Genomic DNA, 17,053 nt, shown 5'->3' with positions numbered 1-17,053 from the left:
TACAAGTCCCGACTTGTTGACTGAGAGGCCTTATTTGGACCTGTTTCAGAACAGATTGCTTCTTCCTATCTCCCAACATGGTACCCAAGTAGAAACAAAGGAAAATGACTGTGCTTATAGGCAGTTTTACGAATGAGATTTAAAGTTGATGAACTCTCTCTTTTCCTGCTTGGTTGAGAATGCCAGGATGCTAAGCTCGCAAAGCCTTGCTTCTTAGGAATGAGCCCTATTTGGGTCCCTTCTGCTTAAACAAGGAAGAAAAGGTTAGAACCAAGATGTAAAGAGGGCAGGGTTTAAATCATTCCTTTGGTTTTTTTTTTTTTTTTTTTTTTTTCTAGCTGCATGACCAAGCATGGCTGTATCTCAGTATTTTCTCATTTGTGGGAAGGGGATAATCATATAGAACTGCTGGGTGTCTGTGTGAAATTCCAATAATATTATTATTTAAAAGTGTGTGTTTACAGTAGGCACTCAATAATCATTGGCTTCTGTCCTTGTTTGCTTCCCTATTCTGGGTTTATTCTCTTGATGGGAAAGGAAATGATCAATCACAGTTAAGTGAATAGGAGCCTGACTCTAATATAATTTTATAAGTGCAGAGCCAATGCTAGATGAAATTGAGGAGGCATTGACGTTGTTTTTGAACTGACCACATCATTCCTCTTTTCTATGTGCTCCTGGTGGTGTCTATTCTGCTCTTTCCCTGGGGCACCTAGACCTTTTGTGTCCTTTTTCTTCCACTTAACATCTTTGTCTCCAGAAAATATGCAAGAAACTCATTCCAAACTAAGGTGTGAAAGACTGGTAAGGTTTCATATATATGTGTATATACATATGGATAAAAATGTAATTCAAATTAATGAACTATTTACTATGGAATATTGACCGCAACCAGGTCAATGTTTGATTTCCCCATTCGCATATCTTATTTATTCAGCAAATGTGCACAGAGCTCCTTCTCAGTGCCAGGCTGAGGGGGGTGGAATACATGAGTGAGACGTGGCCACTGTCCTCAAGGGTCTCCCAGTCTTATGGGGCACAGCTGTATAAATATAAATAATAATAGTAAAAATAGAGCACTTAGTATGTGGCAGGGACTATTCTATGTGCTTTACATATATTAATTCATTTACTGTTTGCCACAGCCCTATGAGTTGGTTACTATGATAACTTATGGTTTAGAGTAAAGAAACTCTAACCAGAAAGGTTAAATGTCCTACTTAAGGTTAGACAGCTAGTTAATGTGGTTTAGTTCCCGAGTTATTGCTTATTACCTCTATGCCTTACTGTCTCACTATACACAAGACAGTGTGATACTGACTTCTAGGAGTCTATTGTTAGGAAGTAATCTTTGATGCAGACAAAGACTACAGATAATAAATTTGATAAAGCAAAGGGAAGAGGAAAAATTGTAAAATCAATCAGTAGTAGAATGCTCAAATTAATTGTGATACATCTATATGAGGAAATATTCATAACAATTAAAAGAAATAAGGCTATCACTCCAAACTTCAGTGAAAAAGAAAGTATAAAATATGGTTTATATGGATTAGTTGAATTTTTTAAAAGTATGTATAATATATAAATATCTCTGTATTTTTAAAGTGTTTGTTGGCCAGGCGCAGTGGCTCACACCTATAATTCCAGCATTTTGGGAGGCCGAGGTGGGCAGATCATGAGGTCAGGAAATAAAGACCATCCTGGCCAACATGGTGAAACCCCGTCTCTACTAAAAATATAAAAATTAGCTGGGCATGGTGGCGTGTGCCTGTAATCCCAGCTACTCAGGAGGCTGAGGCAGGAGAATCACTTGAACCAGGGAGTCAGAAGTTACAGTGAGTTGAGATCGTGCCACTGCACTCCAGCCTGGGCAACAGAGTGAGACTTCACCTCAAAAAAAAAAAAAAAAAGTGTTTGTTGTACAGTAGGCACTTAATAATTATTGGCTTTTTTCCTTGTCAGATTAATATCAACACATATACAACACACTCTCTGCCCTGGAGGAGTGTCTAGTTTAGGGAGAAGCTAGATATTTTTATAATTGAGCTTCAGGCAACATTAGAGGGCTGTTTACAGGACAGTGGTGACCAAGGGATTCAGGCTTTGCTGGGAGCGGTGGGGATGGATCAAGGAAACATTCACAGAGTAAGACAGCCTTGCTGTTTCCATCTGGAACTTCTTCAAAGGACAAACTGATTTTCTCTGTTTATGTTTGTCTCTCTAAGAAGGAACCAGGGAATGTCAAAGAACATCTGTCCTTTTCTAAACCTCCAGTGACCTTGCAGCAAGTCTCTTTTGACTCCTACTTCCATGATGCCAGCTGAGAGGTCCAATCTGTTTTAAACCTTTCTCAGTGTCCACTGAGATGTGTCATTTGAATCCAGGGGCTCCTCTAGTCTCTGGGATGGTAAGAGAGCTGAAGCTCAAATCCTGGCTGCTGACCTGAAACTTTGTGTAGCTGGGATGCTCTCCAGAGTTGCTGCTGGGTGTCTGACCCTCTCATGCAAGACACCCTGCAACTAGTGCCTGCCAATGAGTGAGAAAGAGTCAGCACTGCCGTTGACTGCATGTTGACTGTGCACCAGGCATTGTCCCTGCATTTTTCTCCTCTCTTTATAATAATTATATGATGTTGGTTTTATTATCTACAGTTTGAAGGTGGAAAAGGTCTAACTCAGCACAGGTGATGGTCGTGCCAGCTGAGGTCTTATGGACATTTATCACTAGAGTGCCTAATTTCATTCTTGGCGCATAGAGGGGACTCAGTAGTTGTATTTTTGATTCTCACTGATTCTAAGTGGCAGGTTTGAGACTGGAATCTAGGTGTACACAATCCCCAAAACTCTTCTTTTTCTGCTGTGGCAAGCTGCTCCTCAGCCTGGATTCTCACCTGCCACAATGTTCTTTTTGAGGGTATTTTTCCTCCCTGGAAGCTCTTACTTTATAAGAAAAGATAGGTTCATCCACTCCGGCCACCTCTGTAACGATCAGTAATTCGTGGTGGTTTCTAGATCAAAGAGTTCGGGAGCGTGCCTGGGTGGAGTGTGGGAACCCTCTGGATGTTTGCTGGAACGCTGCTCCACACTGTGTACCTGGGAGGGTAATCTTTCATCCTTTCTGAGCCTTCCTTAGAAGCCTATCAAACAACTCCATGCCTTTTCCTTGTCCCTTTTATCGCCCTCGGGAGCAAAGTTGGGACTTGTGCAACTGCAGGGCTCTTTTCTGTGGGAACAATAATCTCATTTCAATATGTGTGGGTGGGTAGATTATACGTTATGGGCTTGGAGCTCATTTGTAGGACTAGGGAGGGACTGGGTTAAATAGTTGTATGATTAACAAGCTGCTGTGTTTTTATGGTCTGGAAAGAAAAGGTTTCGGCAAGGATTATCAGTTCAGATTGGGAATGATTCACCCAAAAGTATTCAATAGTTTGGGTGGTAGGTGTGGGGTGTGGCAAAGAACTTACCCCCCTACCTCCAGGAAAAGAATAGTATGTAATATACTTGGAAAAGTTTAATCTCTCTTTTTTAAAAAGTCCTTTCTTTCCTTAGGGAAAACTCTCTAAAATTATGGAGAGAATTTGTCATATAATAAATATTGCTTTGTGTTCTATCTGGGCATGGTATTAGCAATATATGTTAGATGAAGCAGGGATTTGGGAGTCAGTTGTCAATATCGGTGATTTTGAGCAGTCAGATCATTGCTTTGGATTCTACTTATCTTGCTCTAAGGGCATGTTTTACCAGATAATCTTTCAGGTTTCTTACAGGTGCATTCGTTCACTGAGTGCTTATTGAACACATCTTACAACTGAACAAACTGATGCTGATGTTGGGCTCTAGGGTCTATCAACATGGCCCTTGTTCCCTGCCTGAATTCAGAACCAATTAAGAGAAAGACACTGAAGTGAGACAGATGGGGATCAGAATATCACCACCACTATAGATAAACACTATTGTGGGTTTACGGCTAAAGGAAACAGCAGTAATGGCTTTCTTAACATCAAATCTCAGAATAAAACAAATGTATTTGTCCAATCTCAAGCATTGTTGGGTCATTACAGGGTTTCCCCACCCTTGTATTGATGGGGGAATTCTTCTCCAGCAAAGCTTGAAGCAAGAAGGAGAAGAGCGCAATCTATGCTCTCTACTCTCAGGTACATTTTCAAAGAATGAAAGAAAGGGAGAGGCTGTACCAACAAGCTTAAATCCTTCTTCCAAAGGCACCCAGTAGCTAAGTCACTCTTTCTCTCAATAGAAGGTAAGTGGAGAGAGGCCTTAGGGTTTAGAGTAAATTCCTCCTGATATGGTTTGGATTTGTGTCCCTACCCAAATCTCATGTCATACTGTAATCCCCAGTGCTGGAGGAGGGGCCTGGTAGGAGGTGATTGGATCATCAGGGTGGATTTTCCTCTTGCTGTTATCATGACAGCGAGTGAGTTCTCAGGAGATCTGGTTATTTAAAAATGTGTAGAACCTCCCCCTTTGCCCTCTTCCTCCTGCTCCCACCATGTAGGACATGTTTTGCTTCCCCTTTGCTTACTGCCATGATTGTAAATTTCCTGAGGCCTCCCCAGCCATGCTTCCTGTATAGCCTGCAGAGCTGTGAACCAATTAAACCACTTTTCTTTATAAAATTCCTGATCTCAGGTAGTTCTTTATAGCAATTCAAGAATGGACTAATATACCTCCTTATGAAAACCAGAAAAGATAGAGATAACTGTTGTGGTATAGCCAGTAGAGACTCTCCCAACAGCCATTGCTTACCTATACTTCTCAGCCTCCCTATTGTTAGACTGAAGCCATGTGAATAAAGCAGGCCAGTGGACTTGAGTGGAAGTAATGCATGCGAGCTGATTAATTACAACCCTCCTCTGTCCCTCTTAGTCTCTGCCTTGGTGACCCTGGAGGTCGTATGTTCTAGATGGCATGACTATAAGAAAAGGGAGGATGTCCGACCTGAAATGGACTTTAAGTGGCAAATCCATCTGTGGTTCGAAGCAGCTCTTTTCTCTTCAGCAAGAATATCCTTGTCTGGTTCCAGATCTTAGGGCTGTAGCTATGAGTTTTCATCCTTGCAATGCAGCTGACATTGCCACTCTCACCAACTTTCTCTTGGCCCACAAACAATTTAAGTTGGGTTTTTCATGGCTTATAATGAAAGTTAATTGATATAGAGGCTAAAATTCACATTAAAAAAAAGAAAGATACCAATGGACCATGTGTCGACTATTTTGCTGATCTAAAGCTTCTTCACTGTTTTCTCCAAAAATCTGAGTTGTTTACAGTGGTTCTAATAATTGCCTGAGGAAAAAGCTCATGTTTAAATCATTTTACCTTTCTTAGAGGAAAACATTTATTGAGAATAAAGGAAAACTGCTTCTATTTAATCAAAACGTTTTACTCAAGATACAAAATGGGAAAAGCTGTAATATTGCAAAAAAGGAACATAAAAGTCATTTAAAACCAGGCAGTATAAAAACTCATAATTATATTAACAGAATGAAGAATAAAAAGCATTTGATCATCTCATGAGATGCAGAAAAAGCATTCGAGAAAATTCTACATTCTTTCATGATAAAAATTCTCACCAAATTAGGTATAGAAGAAATGTACCATAACAGAATAAAGGTCATATATTAGAAGCCAACAGCTAACATTATACTCAATGGTGAAAAGTTGAAACCTTTTTCCCTAAGATCTGGAACCAGACAAGGATGCCCACTCTTGCCACTTCTAATTAGTGTAATATGGGAAGGCGTTACCAGAGCAATTAGGCAAAAATAAATACATAAACAAATAACTAAAAATAAAAGCCATCCAAATAGTAAAAGTGAAATTGTCGATGTTTGCTGATGACATAATCTTATACATATAAAACCCTATAGACATTACCAAAAAGACTATTAGAACTAATAAATGAATACAGTAAAGTTGCAGGATACAAAAATCTCACACAAAAATTGCTGGCAATAGCATTTCTTTTTTTTTTTTCTTTTTTTCTTTTTTTTGAGATGGAGTCTCGCTCTGTTGCCCAGGCTGGAGTGCAGTGGTGCGATCTCGGCTCACCACAACCTCCGCCTCCTGGGTTCAAGAGATTCTCCTGCCTCAGCCTCCCAAGAAGGTGGGACTACAGGCACACACCCCCATGCCCAACTAATTTTTGTATTTTTAGTAGAGATGGGGATTCGCTATGCTGGCCAGGCTGGTCTCAAGCTCCTGACCTCGTGATCTGCCTGCCTCGGCCTCCCAAAGTGTTGGATTACAGGCATGAGCCACCGTGCCCCACCAAAAATTGACAGCATTTCTATACACTAACAATGAACTATCTGAAAAAGAAATGAACAATCTTATTTACAATAGCTACAAAAATATAGAAATACTTAGAAATAAATTTAACCAAGGAGGTGAAAGGCCTGTACCCCCAAAGCTATATATTGAAAAAAAAATTAAAGAAGAAAAAAATAAATGAAAATATAGCTCATGTTTATGGATTGGAAAAATTCATAATATTAAAATGCCCATATTACCCAAATTAGTCTATAGCATCAATGTAATCTTTATCAAAATCCCAACATCTTTTTTCATAGAAATATAAAAAACAATTCTAAAATTCATATGGAACCTCAAAATACTCTGAATAGCCAAGGCAATATTGAGCAAAAAGTAAAAAGCTGGAGATATCACACTACCTGACTTCAAATTATACTACAAAACTGTAGTAATTAAAACAGCATGGTATTGGCAGAAAAAATGGACATGTCAACCAACAGAACAGAGATCCCATAAATGGACCCATGCAGATACGGTTAACCAATTTTAAACAAAGGTACCAAAAATATGCAATGGAAAGAGAAAAATCTCTTCAATAAATGTTCTTGGGAAATGGTATTGGGAAAACTGGATTTCCACATGCAGAAGAATAAAATTGGATCCTTATCTCACAACATGTACAAAAATCAACTCATAAGCATCACAGATTTTAATGTAATACCAGAAACTCTGAAACCTCTAGAAGAAAAACTATATGACATTAATCTGGGCAATGATTTTTTTGGACTAGACTTCAAAAGTTCAGGCAACAACAACAAAAATGGACAAATGGGATTAGATAAAATTAAAAATCTGCACGAAAAGAAAACAAAATAAAACAAAAAACAAAGCAATTACCAGTGTATAGAGACAACCTATGGACTGGGAGAAAAAATTTGCAAGCCATACCTCTGATAAGAGATTAATGTATCCAAAATATATAAGGAGTTCAAAAAACTCAATAGCAAGAAAAAAATTTTAAATGGGTAAGGGACGTGAATAGATATTTCTTAACAAAAGATATACAAATGGTGAACAGACATATGAAAAAATGCTCAGCATGACTAATTATTAGAGAAATGCAAATTAAAACCACAATGAGATATCATCTGTCAGAAAGGCTTTTATCAAAAAGGCAGAAGATAACAAGTGTTGACAGAGACGTGGATAAAAGGAAACCTTTGCACGCTTTTGATGGGAATGCCAATTAGTACAGCCATTATAAAAACCAGTATGGAGGTTTCCCAAAAAAACAAAAAAACAGAATTACCACATGATCCAGCAATCCCTTTTCTGGGTCTTTACCCAAAAGATTTGAAATGTTTGTTATAGAGATGTCTGCACTCTGATGTTCACTGCAGCATTATTCACGATAGGCAAGGTATGGAATCCACCTAAGCATTCATCAACATATGAATGGATAAAGCAGATGTGATATAAACCCACAATGACATACTATTCAGTCTTTAAAAAGAAGGAAATTCTGTTACTTGCAATAACATAGATGGACTTGGAGAACATTATGCTAAGTAAAATAAGTCAGGCATGGGAAGAAATACTGCACGTTCTCACTTATAATGTGGAATTTACAACAATCAAACTCATAGAAATAGAAAACAGAACGGCGATTACAGAGGCTAGGGTGGGGGGAATGGGGAGATGATCAAATGGTATAAAATGACAGGAGGAATACATTCTTTCCCGTTTTAGAATTCTATTGCATGTTGTGGTAAACATAATTAATAATAAATCATTGTACATTTCAAGATGGCTAAGAGAGTAAATTTCAAATGTTCTCACCATAGAAAAGTATTTGAGGTGATGAATATGTTAACTAGCTTGATTGTATTCATAAACTATAACATTACTTTATAATTTGTTTCATTCATTCTTTCTTTCTTTCTTTCTTGAGACAGGGTCTCTTTCTCTCTGTCATCCAGGCTGGAGTGCAGTGGCAAAATCTCAGCTCACTGCAACCGCCACCCCCTGTGGTCAAGTGATCCTCCCACCTCAGCCTCCTGGGTAGCTGGGATCACAGGTGTGCACCACCAGGCCCAGTATTTTCAGTAGAGACAAGGTTTTGCCATGTTGCCCAGGCTGGTCTTGAATTCCTGAGCTCAAGTGATCTGCCCACCTTGGCCTCCTAAAGTGCTGAGATTACAGGCATAAGCCACCATGCCTGGCCAACATCACCTTTTACTTCTTACATTTATATAAATTGTCAATTTACAATTAAAAAACAGCAATAAAAATCTAGTTGAAAGTTCTTTACTCAGTAGAAACTTATATAAATGTTAACTGCTTGACTCTTTAAGTAAACTTAGTTTAGTTAACATGCATAGCTGTTTTCTGTCACTCCCTGGACAATGCATTTTTCTTGGGGTGTAGTTCTAATTCTAGCTGTCCCAAAGGAGATGAAACACTTCAAAACTGGTAAGTAGGTCAAGTTTGCCTTAGGTGGTCCTCAGATTCCTGTCAATACCATTTCATTCTTTCCTCATTTTGGGAGAAGGGAAGGAGGGAAGGAAGTAAGGAAGGAAGGAAGGAAGGAAATAATCAAATGCATTATTAAAATCTGATTGTCATTGCAAACTTATGAGGTAAATGTTTTCGCTTTGAGTCTATAAATGGAAACTGAGGCTCAGAAAGAGTGATCATTATGACTAATCTTTATTCAGTGTTTTGTGTATCATAGGTACTTTTCTAAGCACCTGATATGAATTAGTCCATTTAATTCTCACAACAACCCCATGAAGTAAACAACATTATTCTCACTTCATGGAGGAGAAAACAGGCACCCCAGGAGATAACTTATTCAAGCTTACACAACTTGTGTCAGAGCCAGGATTAAAACCTAAATGGTCTTGCTCGCAAGTCTATACCGGTAACTATTAAGCTGGCTTGCCCCTATGGGCCAAGGGACCTGTGCAGGTTGATTTATTCGTGGTTTCAAAGCTTATTAGTATTTGTTATGGTCATGTTTCTTTAACGTAGACAGCATAACTCAATGCAGCTATTTTCAGCAGAAAGAGTTCTATTAAAGGTGGTAGATAGCTACCACAACGATAAAATGGCTTTTATGATATACAGACTAAAATTTCAGGAAAGATTCCCAGAGCCACACCTTGGAACTAATACACCCAGAGGGCAGCTGCCCCTACCATAATCAGGATGCTGTGAGCCAGGAGCTGCCACCCCAACTGGAGACTATAGAACCAGGCTACAGCTGCATTAGTCTACAACAGCTGAATAAATTCTTTGCATCCTGCCTCCCTTTCCATTAATATCATTGACCCCTCAAAATGTATCTCCCAGAACTTGTCTGATGAGCAGGGCCTGTGTCACCTGTCGGCCCTGATGTAAAAAGGGAAAATGGATTCTATGTTGGAATGGAGAGACTTACACTGTAGGGAACTACCACAATGTGGAGAGGGTGTTCACATAGGCTAAATGGCAGATGCCCATCACAGTTGCAGAACTGAAATTTGAGCCCAGATCTAGCCAACTCCAGGGTCCCTGCTCTATCCAATGCTGCTTTCTAAGTCCTTTGTCCCAGAGGACCCAGGGCTCACCAGGGTTAGGATCTCCAGATAGATGGTACCTCACATATGGTATTCAGGATTCCAAAAGGGATAGCTGCTTCTAGACCCATGCTCACTATCTAGAAGGGCATGTCACACCCAAATGCTGGGCACTATTTCTTCCTGAAGAACTGAAATGGATTCTTAAGGTGGAAACCTGAAGATGCTCTTGCCCACTCTCTCTGAAGCATAGAGCTGACCCCAAAACTCAGTAACTTGTTTTCTCTGCTCTTGAGCTTCTCATTTTCTTTTAAACTGAGAGCTTCTTGAAGGAAAAGCTTGTATTTTCTATATTTCCAGCTCCTAGGACTGGGCCAGGTACATTAAAGTGCTCAAATAAATTTCTTCTAAGTGGAGGAGAAGAGGGATGTATAGGTGGTGGAAGGGTTCCCATGATTCTAAGTGGCTTCCCTGGGAGGGACATGTTTAGTCAGATTTAGGAGATAGTTTATGGAAAGATAGGGAGCAAAATATAACTCAGGATACCATGTCTCACTCCAAAATCAGCCATAAGCCTCCCACTGCCATATCTACTTAACACTCCACAGTCAGCCTCAGACCCTCTCCCCACCATTTCACACTTCATCATAAACACAAATCCTCCTCCATACAACCAATTCACATTCCACATCAAGCAAAAATTGTCCCTCCTTACAATCACTACATATTCTGCAGTAAATCCAATCGTCTGACCCAACAGGCATTTTACAGTCCACAGCAAACTACAATCTTACCCTTCTCAGACCTCCTCACCTCCCGTGGGAAGCCCTAACCTCCTCCCCCACAGTAATTCACCTTTCCACAGGAGGCCCAACGCTTCACACCCCATAGTAAAATTCTCACGCCTACAGCCACTTCACACTTGCTAGCAATCCTCCATGATCCCTGCCCACACCACCTCATGTTCCAAGAAGAACCCGGTCCTCCCTCCAACAACTGCTTCACACATCACACTAAACCTGAATCCTCCCTCACCAGAAACCCTGACCTTCTAAAGTAAACCCTACCCTCCCACCACAAAGCCCCTTACTGCTCTACAGCAATCTCCAATCCCCCACCCAATAACCATGTCAAGCTCCACAGGAAAGGCCTCCCACCTCCACTGCACTTCACACTCCATGGAAGGTATCAGTTCTTCCCCCACAACCACCTGCTTCACGCCCATGGAAAGCTTCAGTCGTCTCTCCACAAAACCAGGTTATATTTGAAATCAAGTACTACTCATCCCTCTCATCAACCACTTCACACGCCACAATACACCCCAATTCACCAAGCCTCAGATGCCTTACACTCCACAGGACAGCTGCAGCTCTTTTACCTTCGCGTTAATCACCAATCTTTCTACTCTACACATGCTGCAGACGCCACAGGAATCCTCAAACCTCCTCTCCCACACGGCTTCATGCCCCACAATAAACTGCAGTCCCCCTATCCTCACACCCGCTTCTCACTCCACAGGACCCCCATCCTCAAGCCCACTTCACACTCCCCAGTCATTTTCAATCCTTCCTCCCCAAAATGCTTGACTCCACAGTGAACGCTCTCCCCTCTCCCAGCCCTTCTGCAGTTCATGTGAATCCCCAAACCTTCCTCTCTACAAACAGTTCACATTCCCAGGTAAACCCCAGGGTAAATTCTCATTCTGTAAGCTAACATCCACTTTTAACCCCTTAGTTATTTGCAGTTCTTCCATCCCTAAAGCCACTCCACAATAAACCCCTATCCATGCTCCCTAAATGACTACACTCCACAGCAAATCCTAATCCTCTCGTGCCCACAGCCCAATCACATGCCAGAGTAACACCGATCCTCAAATACGACACATCCTTCACACACCGTGATAAACTCCAATCCTCCGACCAACAGCCACTTCTTACTCCTTCGTAATCCCTAGTAATATCTCCTACAACCACTTCACACAGTGATTCCAATGCTCCCTCCCTATATACATCTCATTCCACACTAAATCCTTGTTCTCTCTCCACATAACCACTTCACATGCCACGAGAAGCCCCATTCCTTCAATTTCCCTAAATTCTCCAAAGGATTTTGATAATTGAACAAATATTTTATAATAACATCGTGGAGAGATGTTAATAAAATTTAAGTCTACCATCCCAAGGGCCTGTTCTAAGGATTTACAGTGAAAGAAGTGTCACCTTTTCTGCATAAGGATATACTTTGCCACGCTATTCATACTGCTGAAAACTGGATGAATGTAAGTATGCACTTAAAAATAATGTCTAAATAATGTGTTATAGCTGTAGCAAATGTAGTGTGTAAACATGGACTCTTTTCATACTATATTCAGAGAATAAAACAATAAATTTAGAAATGGTAACTACACTGATTAAAGCTCAAATGTCATGTGTGTTTGTGGTCACAGGGAGAAAGGACATAGGCAGATGGAAGCAGTATTTTTAGGAGGTGTTGAAATTATGAATGAGTTATACATGTATATATTTGTATATAGTGCCTTGGCACTGCTTGTGTAATATGAAATAGACTTTTCTGAGAAAAGCCAGTGGACTCCTTCAGTCCTCCTTTATTTAGAATCCATTCCCTCACTGAGAACTTGGGAGTACCAGGTACATTGCATAATATGCATCATCTTCCTGGATCTTCCCAGCAACCCTGGAAGGTAAGTCCCATTAGAGGCTTAGAAAGGTTGAGTAAGCTATATGACCCAAGTCTAATGCAGGCTAGATCGTGACTTTAAATTTTGTGTCCCAAATTTATCTCTTTTACTTTCATCAGATTTTGATGTTTTCATCTGAGATAGACAAAGGAGATGACAGGCAATTGCCTGCCAGTCTCTCTAGCTCTGAGTGAAATAAAGCAGTCTTGCTTGCTCTGTGCATTTTCCTGTCTGTGAAGCCAATGGTTTTGCCTGTCTTATTCACTACTATAGTCCGAGGGCCTATCATAGAAGGTGTTCAAGAAATATTTTTTAGTAGATCTTTTTGCCTTTGGAATGAAATCCCTCTCCTTACGAATACATCTTCTTCCTAAACTCCATCCTCTCTGCTTGGCTACATGGTCAACAGTCTATGAAATAGCTGAAAGAGTTAGAGAGGTGTCTGTAGATGAGGTAAAATATTAGCTGTGTAAGTATTTAGAAGACTCTGAAGTGCTCTTTAAAAATATAAAGTAGGTGGGGCATGGTGGCTCACATCTGTAATCCCAGCACTTTGGGAGGCCAAGATGAGAGGACTGCTTGAGCCCAGGAGTTCAAGGCCAGCCTTGGCAATATAGCGAGACTCCCATCTCTACAAAAAAAAAAAAAAAATCTTTTAAAGTTAGCCAGAGATGGTGGCATGTGCCAGTAGTCCCAGAACTCAGGAGGAATGCGGAGGGAGAAACACTTAAAGCCCAAGAGTTTGAGGCTACAGTGAGCTGTGATTGTACCACTGCACTCCAGTCTGGGCAGCAGAGCAAGCAAGACCCTATCTCACAAAAAAAGAGAAAAGAATAAAAAAAGTAAGGCATGATTTTATTTTCTTCAGGCCAAATAAAAGCATGTGTAGAAAACTGAGTTCACTGTCTTTCCGGAAGAATGTGTCTACCAACTAATTTATTGAGGATCAATTTTGTTAAAGAGATTTCTGATGCTGTTTTATTTAACCTAACACCTTCAGGTGTAATTTGTACTGCACTGATACTCTGCAAGAAGAGTATCAGTAACTTTTTCAAGTAGTAAATGACAGAAGCCTATTTCAAACAGGTTTTGGGGAAAAGGGGAAATATAATTGCCAATTAAAGATATGCTGGATTCCAGTGCATCAGGCTTTCAGAACCCTCCCCCCACCCCTGCCCCTCTCTGTCTCTCTCTCTCTCTCTCTCTGTGCAAGAAACAGAGTAAAAGTGAATTTAATAATGGCCATTAGTAAAGGTAAATAGGTTCATATCCTCTGTTTAAGGGTATAATCTATGCTAGAAAGATTTTTAAAGTGGTAAAATAATTTTAACTTTTAAATTAAAATTTTAATTTCAATTTTTAAAATAAATTTCTAAACAGGAAATATTCTCTAATAGTGTTGGTTACATGAGCCATTTGCAGTAGGAGCTTTGCAATATTTTGACATATGTGACATCCAACACTCAGGACAGTCCTGAATTAGAGACCTCAGTAATTGCTGGTAACAGACAGGATTTATTTTTGTAAATAACCCAATTTTAGTAACCCTTGAAGAATTCTCATAATAGGTTAACACCAAGAAGTGCAAAAACTCAAGTCCATGGAACTGAAAATCACTTGCACATAAGAAGCAAAGGGACAGCTTGAATATCTGAACAAATGCACAGACCATCACTCCTCCTTCATATCACACTTTGAGAACTAAAGCAAAGGTACTGTGGAGTTGAGAGCAGTGAGGTCATGAGCAATTCCCAATATTTTTAAAAGCCCAAGGAAATAACTCATTAATTTGTTAATACTGGTTTGTGTTTGTTTTTGCTTTTGTTTTTGTTTTGAGACAGTCTCGCTTTGTCAACTAGGCTGGAGTATAGTGGTATGATCCCCGCTCCCTGCAGCCTCTGCCTTCCAGGTTCAAGTGATTCTCCTGCCTCACCCTCCCAAGAAGCTGGCATTACAGGCCTGTGCCACCACACCCGGCTAATTTTTATATTTTTAATAGAGACAGGGTTTCACCATGTTGGCGAGGCTGGTCTCGAACTCCTGACTCCACGTGATCCACCCACCTCATTCTCCCAAAATGCTGGGATTACAGGGGTGAGCCACCACACCCAGCTTAATTTGTTAATACTTTATAAACTATCTAAAATGTTAAATAAACTGTGCTTCAAGTTGGATTTACTTTCTGATTCCTGTTGATCAGCAGTTTTTATTTGTGACTTGTATATCTTTGATCAATAGAAAACTGATACAAGGAATTAAGGACTCACGAAAACGGTGATCATTTATTTTTGGATCAGATTCTTTCCAAACATCGGATCCTTGGACAAAAGCAACAAAAGAGACATTCCTTGTACTAAAAAGGCTGGATACCAGTACTTCCATCAGACTCCCTATTTTAATAGCAAGCCTGGTGAGGGAGTTCCTTCTGAAGGCTCACACTGGGTGAGTCCAGTGCCCAACCAGCCCATAAGCACAGCAAGGGCGGGCTTCATGTCTTCTTCACTGTTTATATTTCCCTCAGTTCCTCTTTATTGAATAGTGGTGAATTAACATCTTTTGATTTAGTCTATTGTCCCTGATAGCATTTTATTTCCAACCGTGCAATTGCTGATGCTTCTGTTTTCTTTTTGCTTTTTCCCCTGCAGCTTAACTAACATTGACTACTGTGTTAGGATTAGTCATTGCTGACTGTGCCAGCCTGCAGCCTCATAATCAGAGCCTTGTCACCAAGCATGGCTGCCTCAGTGACTGGAATGGAAATGAAAATAAAGCAAGTGTTATTTTCCTCATCCTGAAGCAACAGAGAACTGCATCAGGCTTACCAACATGAACGTGGGTAAGAAGGAGTTTTGAAGTCCAGCAAAGATTTTATAGCTAGTGAGGCTGGCTGGAAGCAGGGTCGATCTGGTCTGATGTGTTGCAAGATGTGAACTTATTAAGGCATCACAGAGGCAACTCCCAGCGGGGGTGGAGGAGAGCAGCAGGGATGGAAAGGAAGAAGACTCTCAAGATAGGATGCTCCAAAGGATGATTGGAAGAGAAGGGTGATGTCTGGAAGCGATAAGCCTCAGATGTTTGTTTGCACCTTACTGGAAAGCCATGTAAATTAATGGAAACTTCCTGGCAAAATAGCTTGACTTGTAGCAACTTCACAACCATAACAATCCAGAGGTGAGGTTTGCCCGCACCCTATTCATTTCAATCCCGAAGGCAATTTTCCCCTTGGCCAGAGAGAAGCTCAAGAACAAAAAACCAAACACCGCATGTTCTCACTCATAGGTGGGAATTGAACAATGAGAACACATGGACACAGGAAGGGGAACATCACACTCTGGGGACTGTTGTGGGGTGGGGGGAGGGGGGAGGGATAGCATTAGGAGATATACCTAATGTTAAATGACAAGTTAATGGGTGCAGCACACCAGCATGGCACATGTATACATATGTAACTAACCTGCACATTATGCACATGTACCCTAAAACTTAAAGTATAATAATAATAAAATAAAAAAAGAAAATTAAAAAATAAAAATTAAAAAATAAAATAAGATCATTTCTTAAAAAAAAAATACTGTGAATGAAAGCAAGAAAGGTGGCATCAGTGAGATGCCATGAAGAGAGTCAGGGTTGGCATAAGTTGTCTCACAGTGCCTTCATGTAGCACTCCCAGATTTCAATTCAAGCCAAGCCACCTCTGTCAGGACATTCACCAGGAGCCCCAGAAGTGTCATATTTACTAAGACCAAGTCAGCAAGCAGTGATGCAGGGTCACCCATGTGCTCACCATGGTGCTTGGCATTTTTTTTTTTTTTCGAGACAGGGTCTTGCTTGTTGCCCTGGCTGGAGTGCAGTGGCGTGATCTTGGCTCACTGCAACCTCTGCCTCCTGGGTTCAAGCAATTCTCCTGCCTCAGCCTCCCGAGTACCTGAGACTATAGACGCACGCCACCACACCTGGCTAATTTTTGTATTCTTAGCAGAGACGGGGAGCGGGGGTGGGTTTCACCATGTTGGCCAGGCCAGTCTCGAACTCTTGACCTCGTGATCTGCCCACCTCAGCCTCCCAAAGTGCTGGGATTACAGGCAGGAGCCACCACACCCAGCTGAAAAATGCCTGGCTGGCATTCTTATACTAATTCAGGAAGCAATCAGCCATTCAATAAATCCTGAGAGCCAGCTGTATGCAGGGACTATACTGGATCCATGCAGATAAGCTAAAGAGCAAAGCCCCAGGTCCTGTTCTCAAGAGGCTCCTAATTTGGGAGAGAGAGAGAGATATGCAAAGAGAGTTGCACTCCAGCATGGTGACTCAGCTTGTGAGCCCCTCACCTAGCCCTGGAGGATAAAGAGAGAAGAAAGACTGCCTCAGGGTTAAGCAGCAAGGAGGGAGGAGAAGGAAAGCTAGCTGAGCAAAATACAGTGGGCCCTCCTTATCTGTGGGTTCCACATTCACGAATTCAACCAGCCACAGTCAAAATATTTGAGGGAAAAATGGTGGTTGCATTTGTACTGAATACGCACAGA

General features: G+C 40.8%; 1 long non-coding RNA gene across 1 annotated transcript in view, besides 2 other annotated features; it reads right to left on the bottom strand.

Moving 5' to 3' along the window:
* Nucleotides 1-17,053, bottom strand: part of CASC21 (cancer susceptibility 21) — a 147,995-nt gene that overhangs the window by 123,612 nt on the left and 7,330 nt on the right. The window lies entirely within an intron of this gene.
* Nucleotides 8-77: an enhancer, noted in NCBI's record as "active region_27937". NCBI's record gives its function as "activates an Ori minimal core promoter by ATAC-STARR-seq in GM12878 lymphoblastoid cells {active_cell/tissue: GM12878}" and the evidence as "EXISTENCE:reporter gene assay evidence [ECO:0000049][PMID:35858748]".
* Nucleotides 16,387-16,982: an enhancer, noted in NCBI's record as "NANOG-H3K27ac-H3K4me1 hESC enhancer chr8:128264283-128264878 (GRCh37/hg19 assembly coordinates)". NCBI's record gives its function as "activates a minimal SCP1, AML or CMV promoter by ChIP-STARR-seq in primed H9 embryonic stem cells {active_cell/tissue: H9 hESC(primed)}" and the evidence as "EXISTENCE:reporter gene assay evidence [ECO:0000049][PMID:30033119]".

This window comes from Homo sapiens, chromosome 8 (genome assembly GCF_000001405.40).
Source record: "Homo sapiens chromosome 8, GRCh38.p14 Primary Assembly".
Lineage (NCBI taxonomy): Eukaryota > Metazoa > Chordata > Mammalia > Primates > Hominidae > Homo > Homo sapiens.
This window is presented reverse-complemented; position numbering and strand designations above follow the sequence as displayed.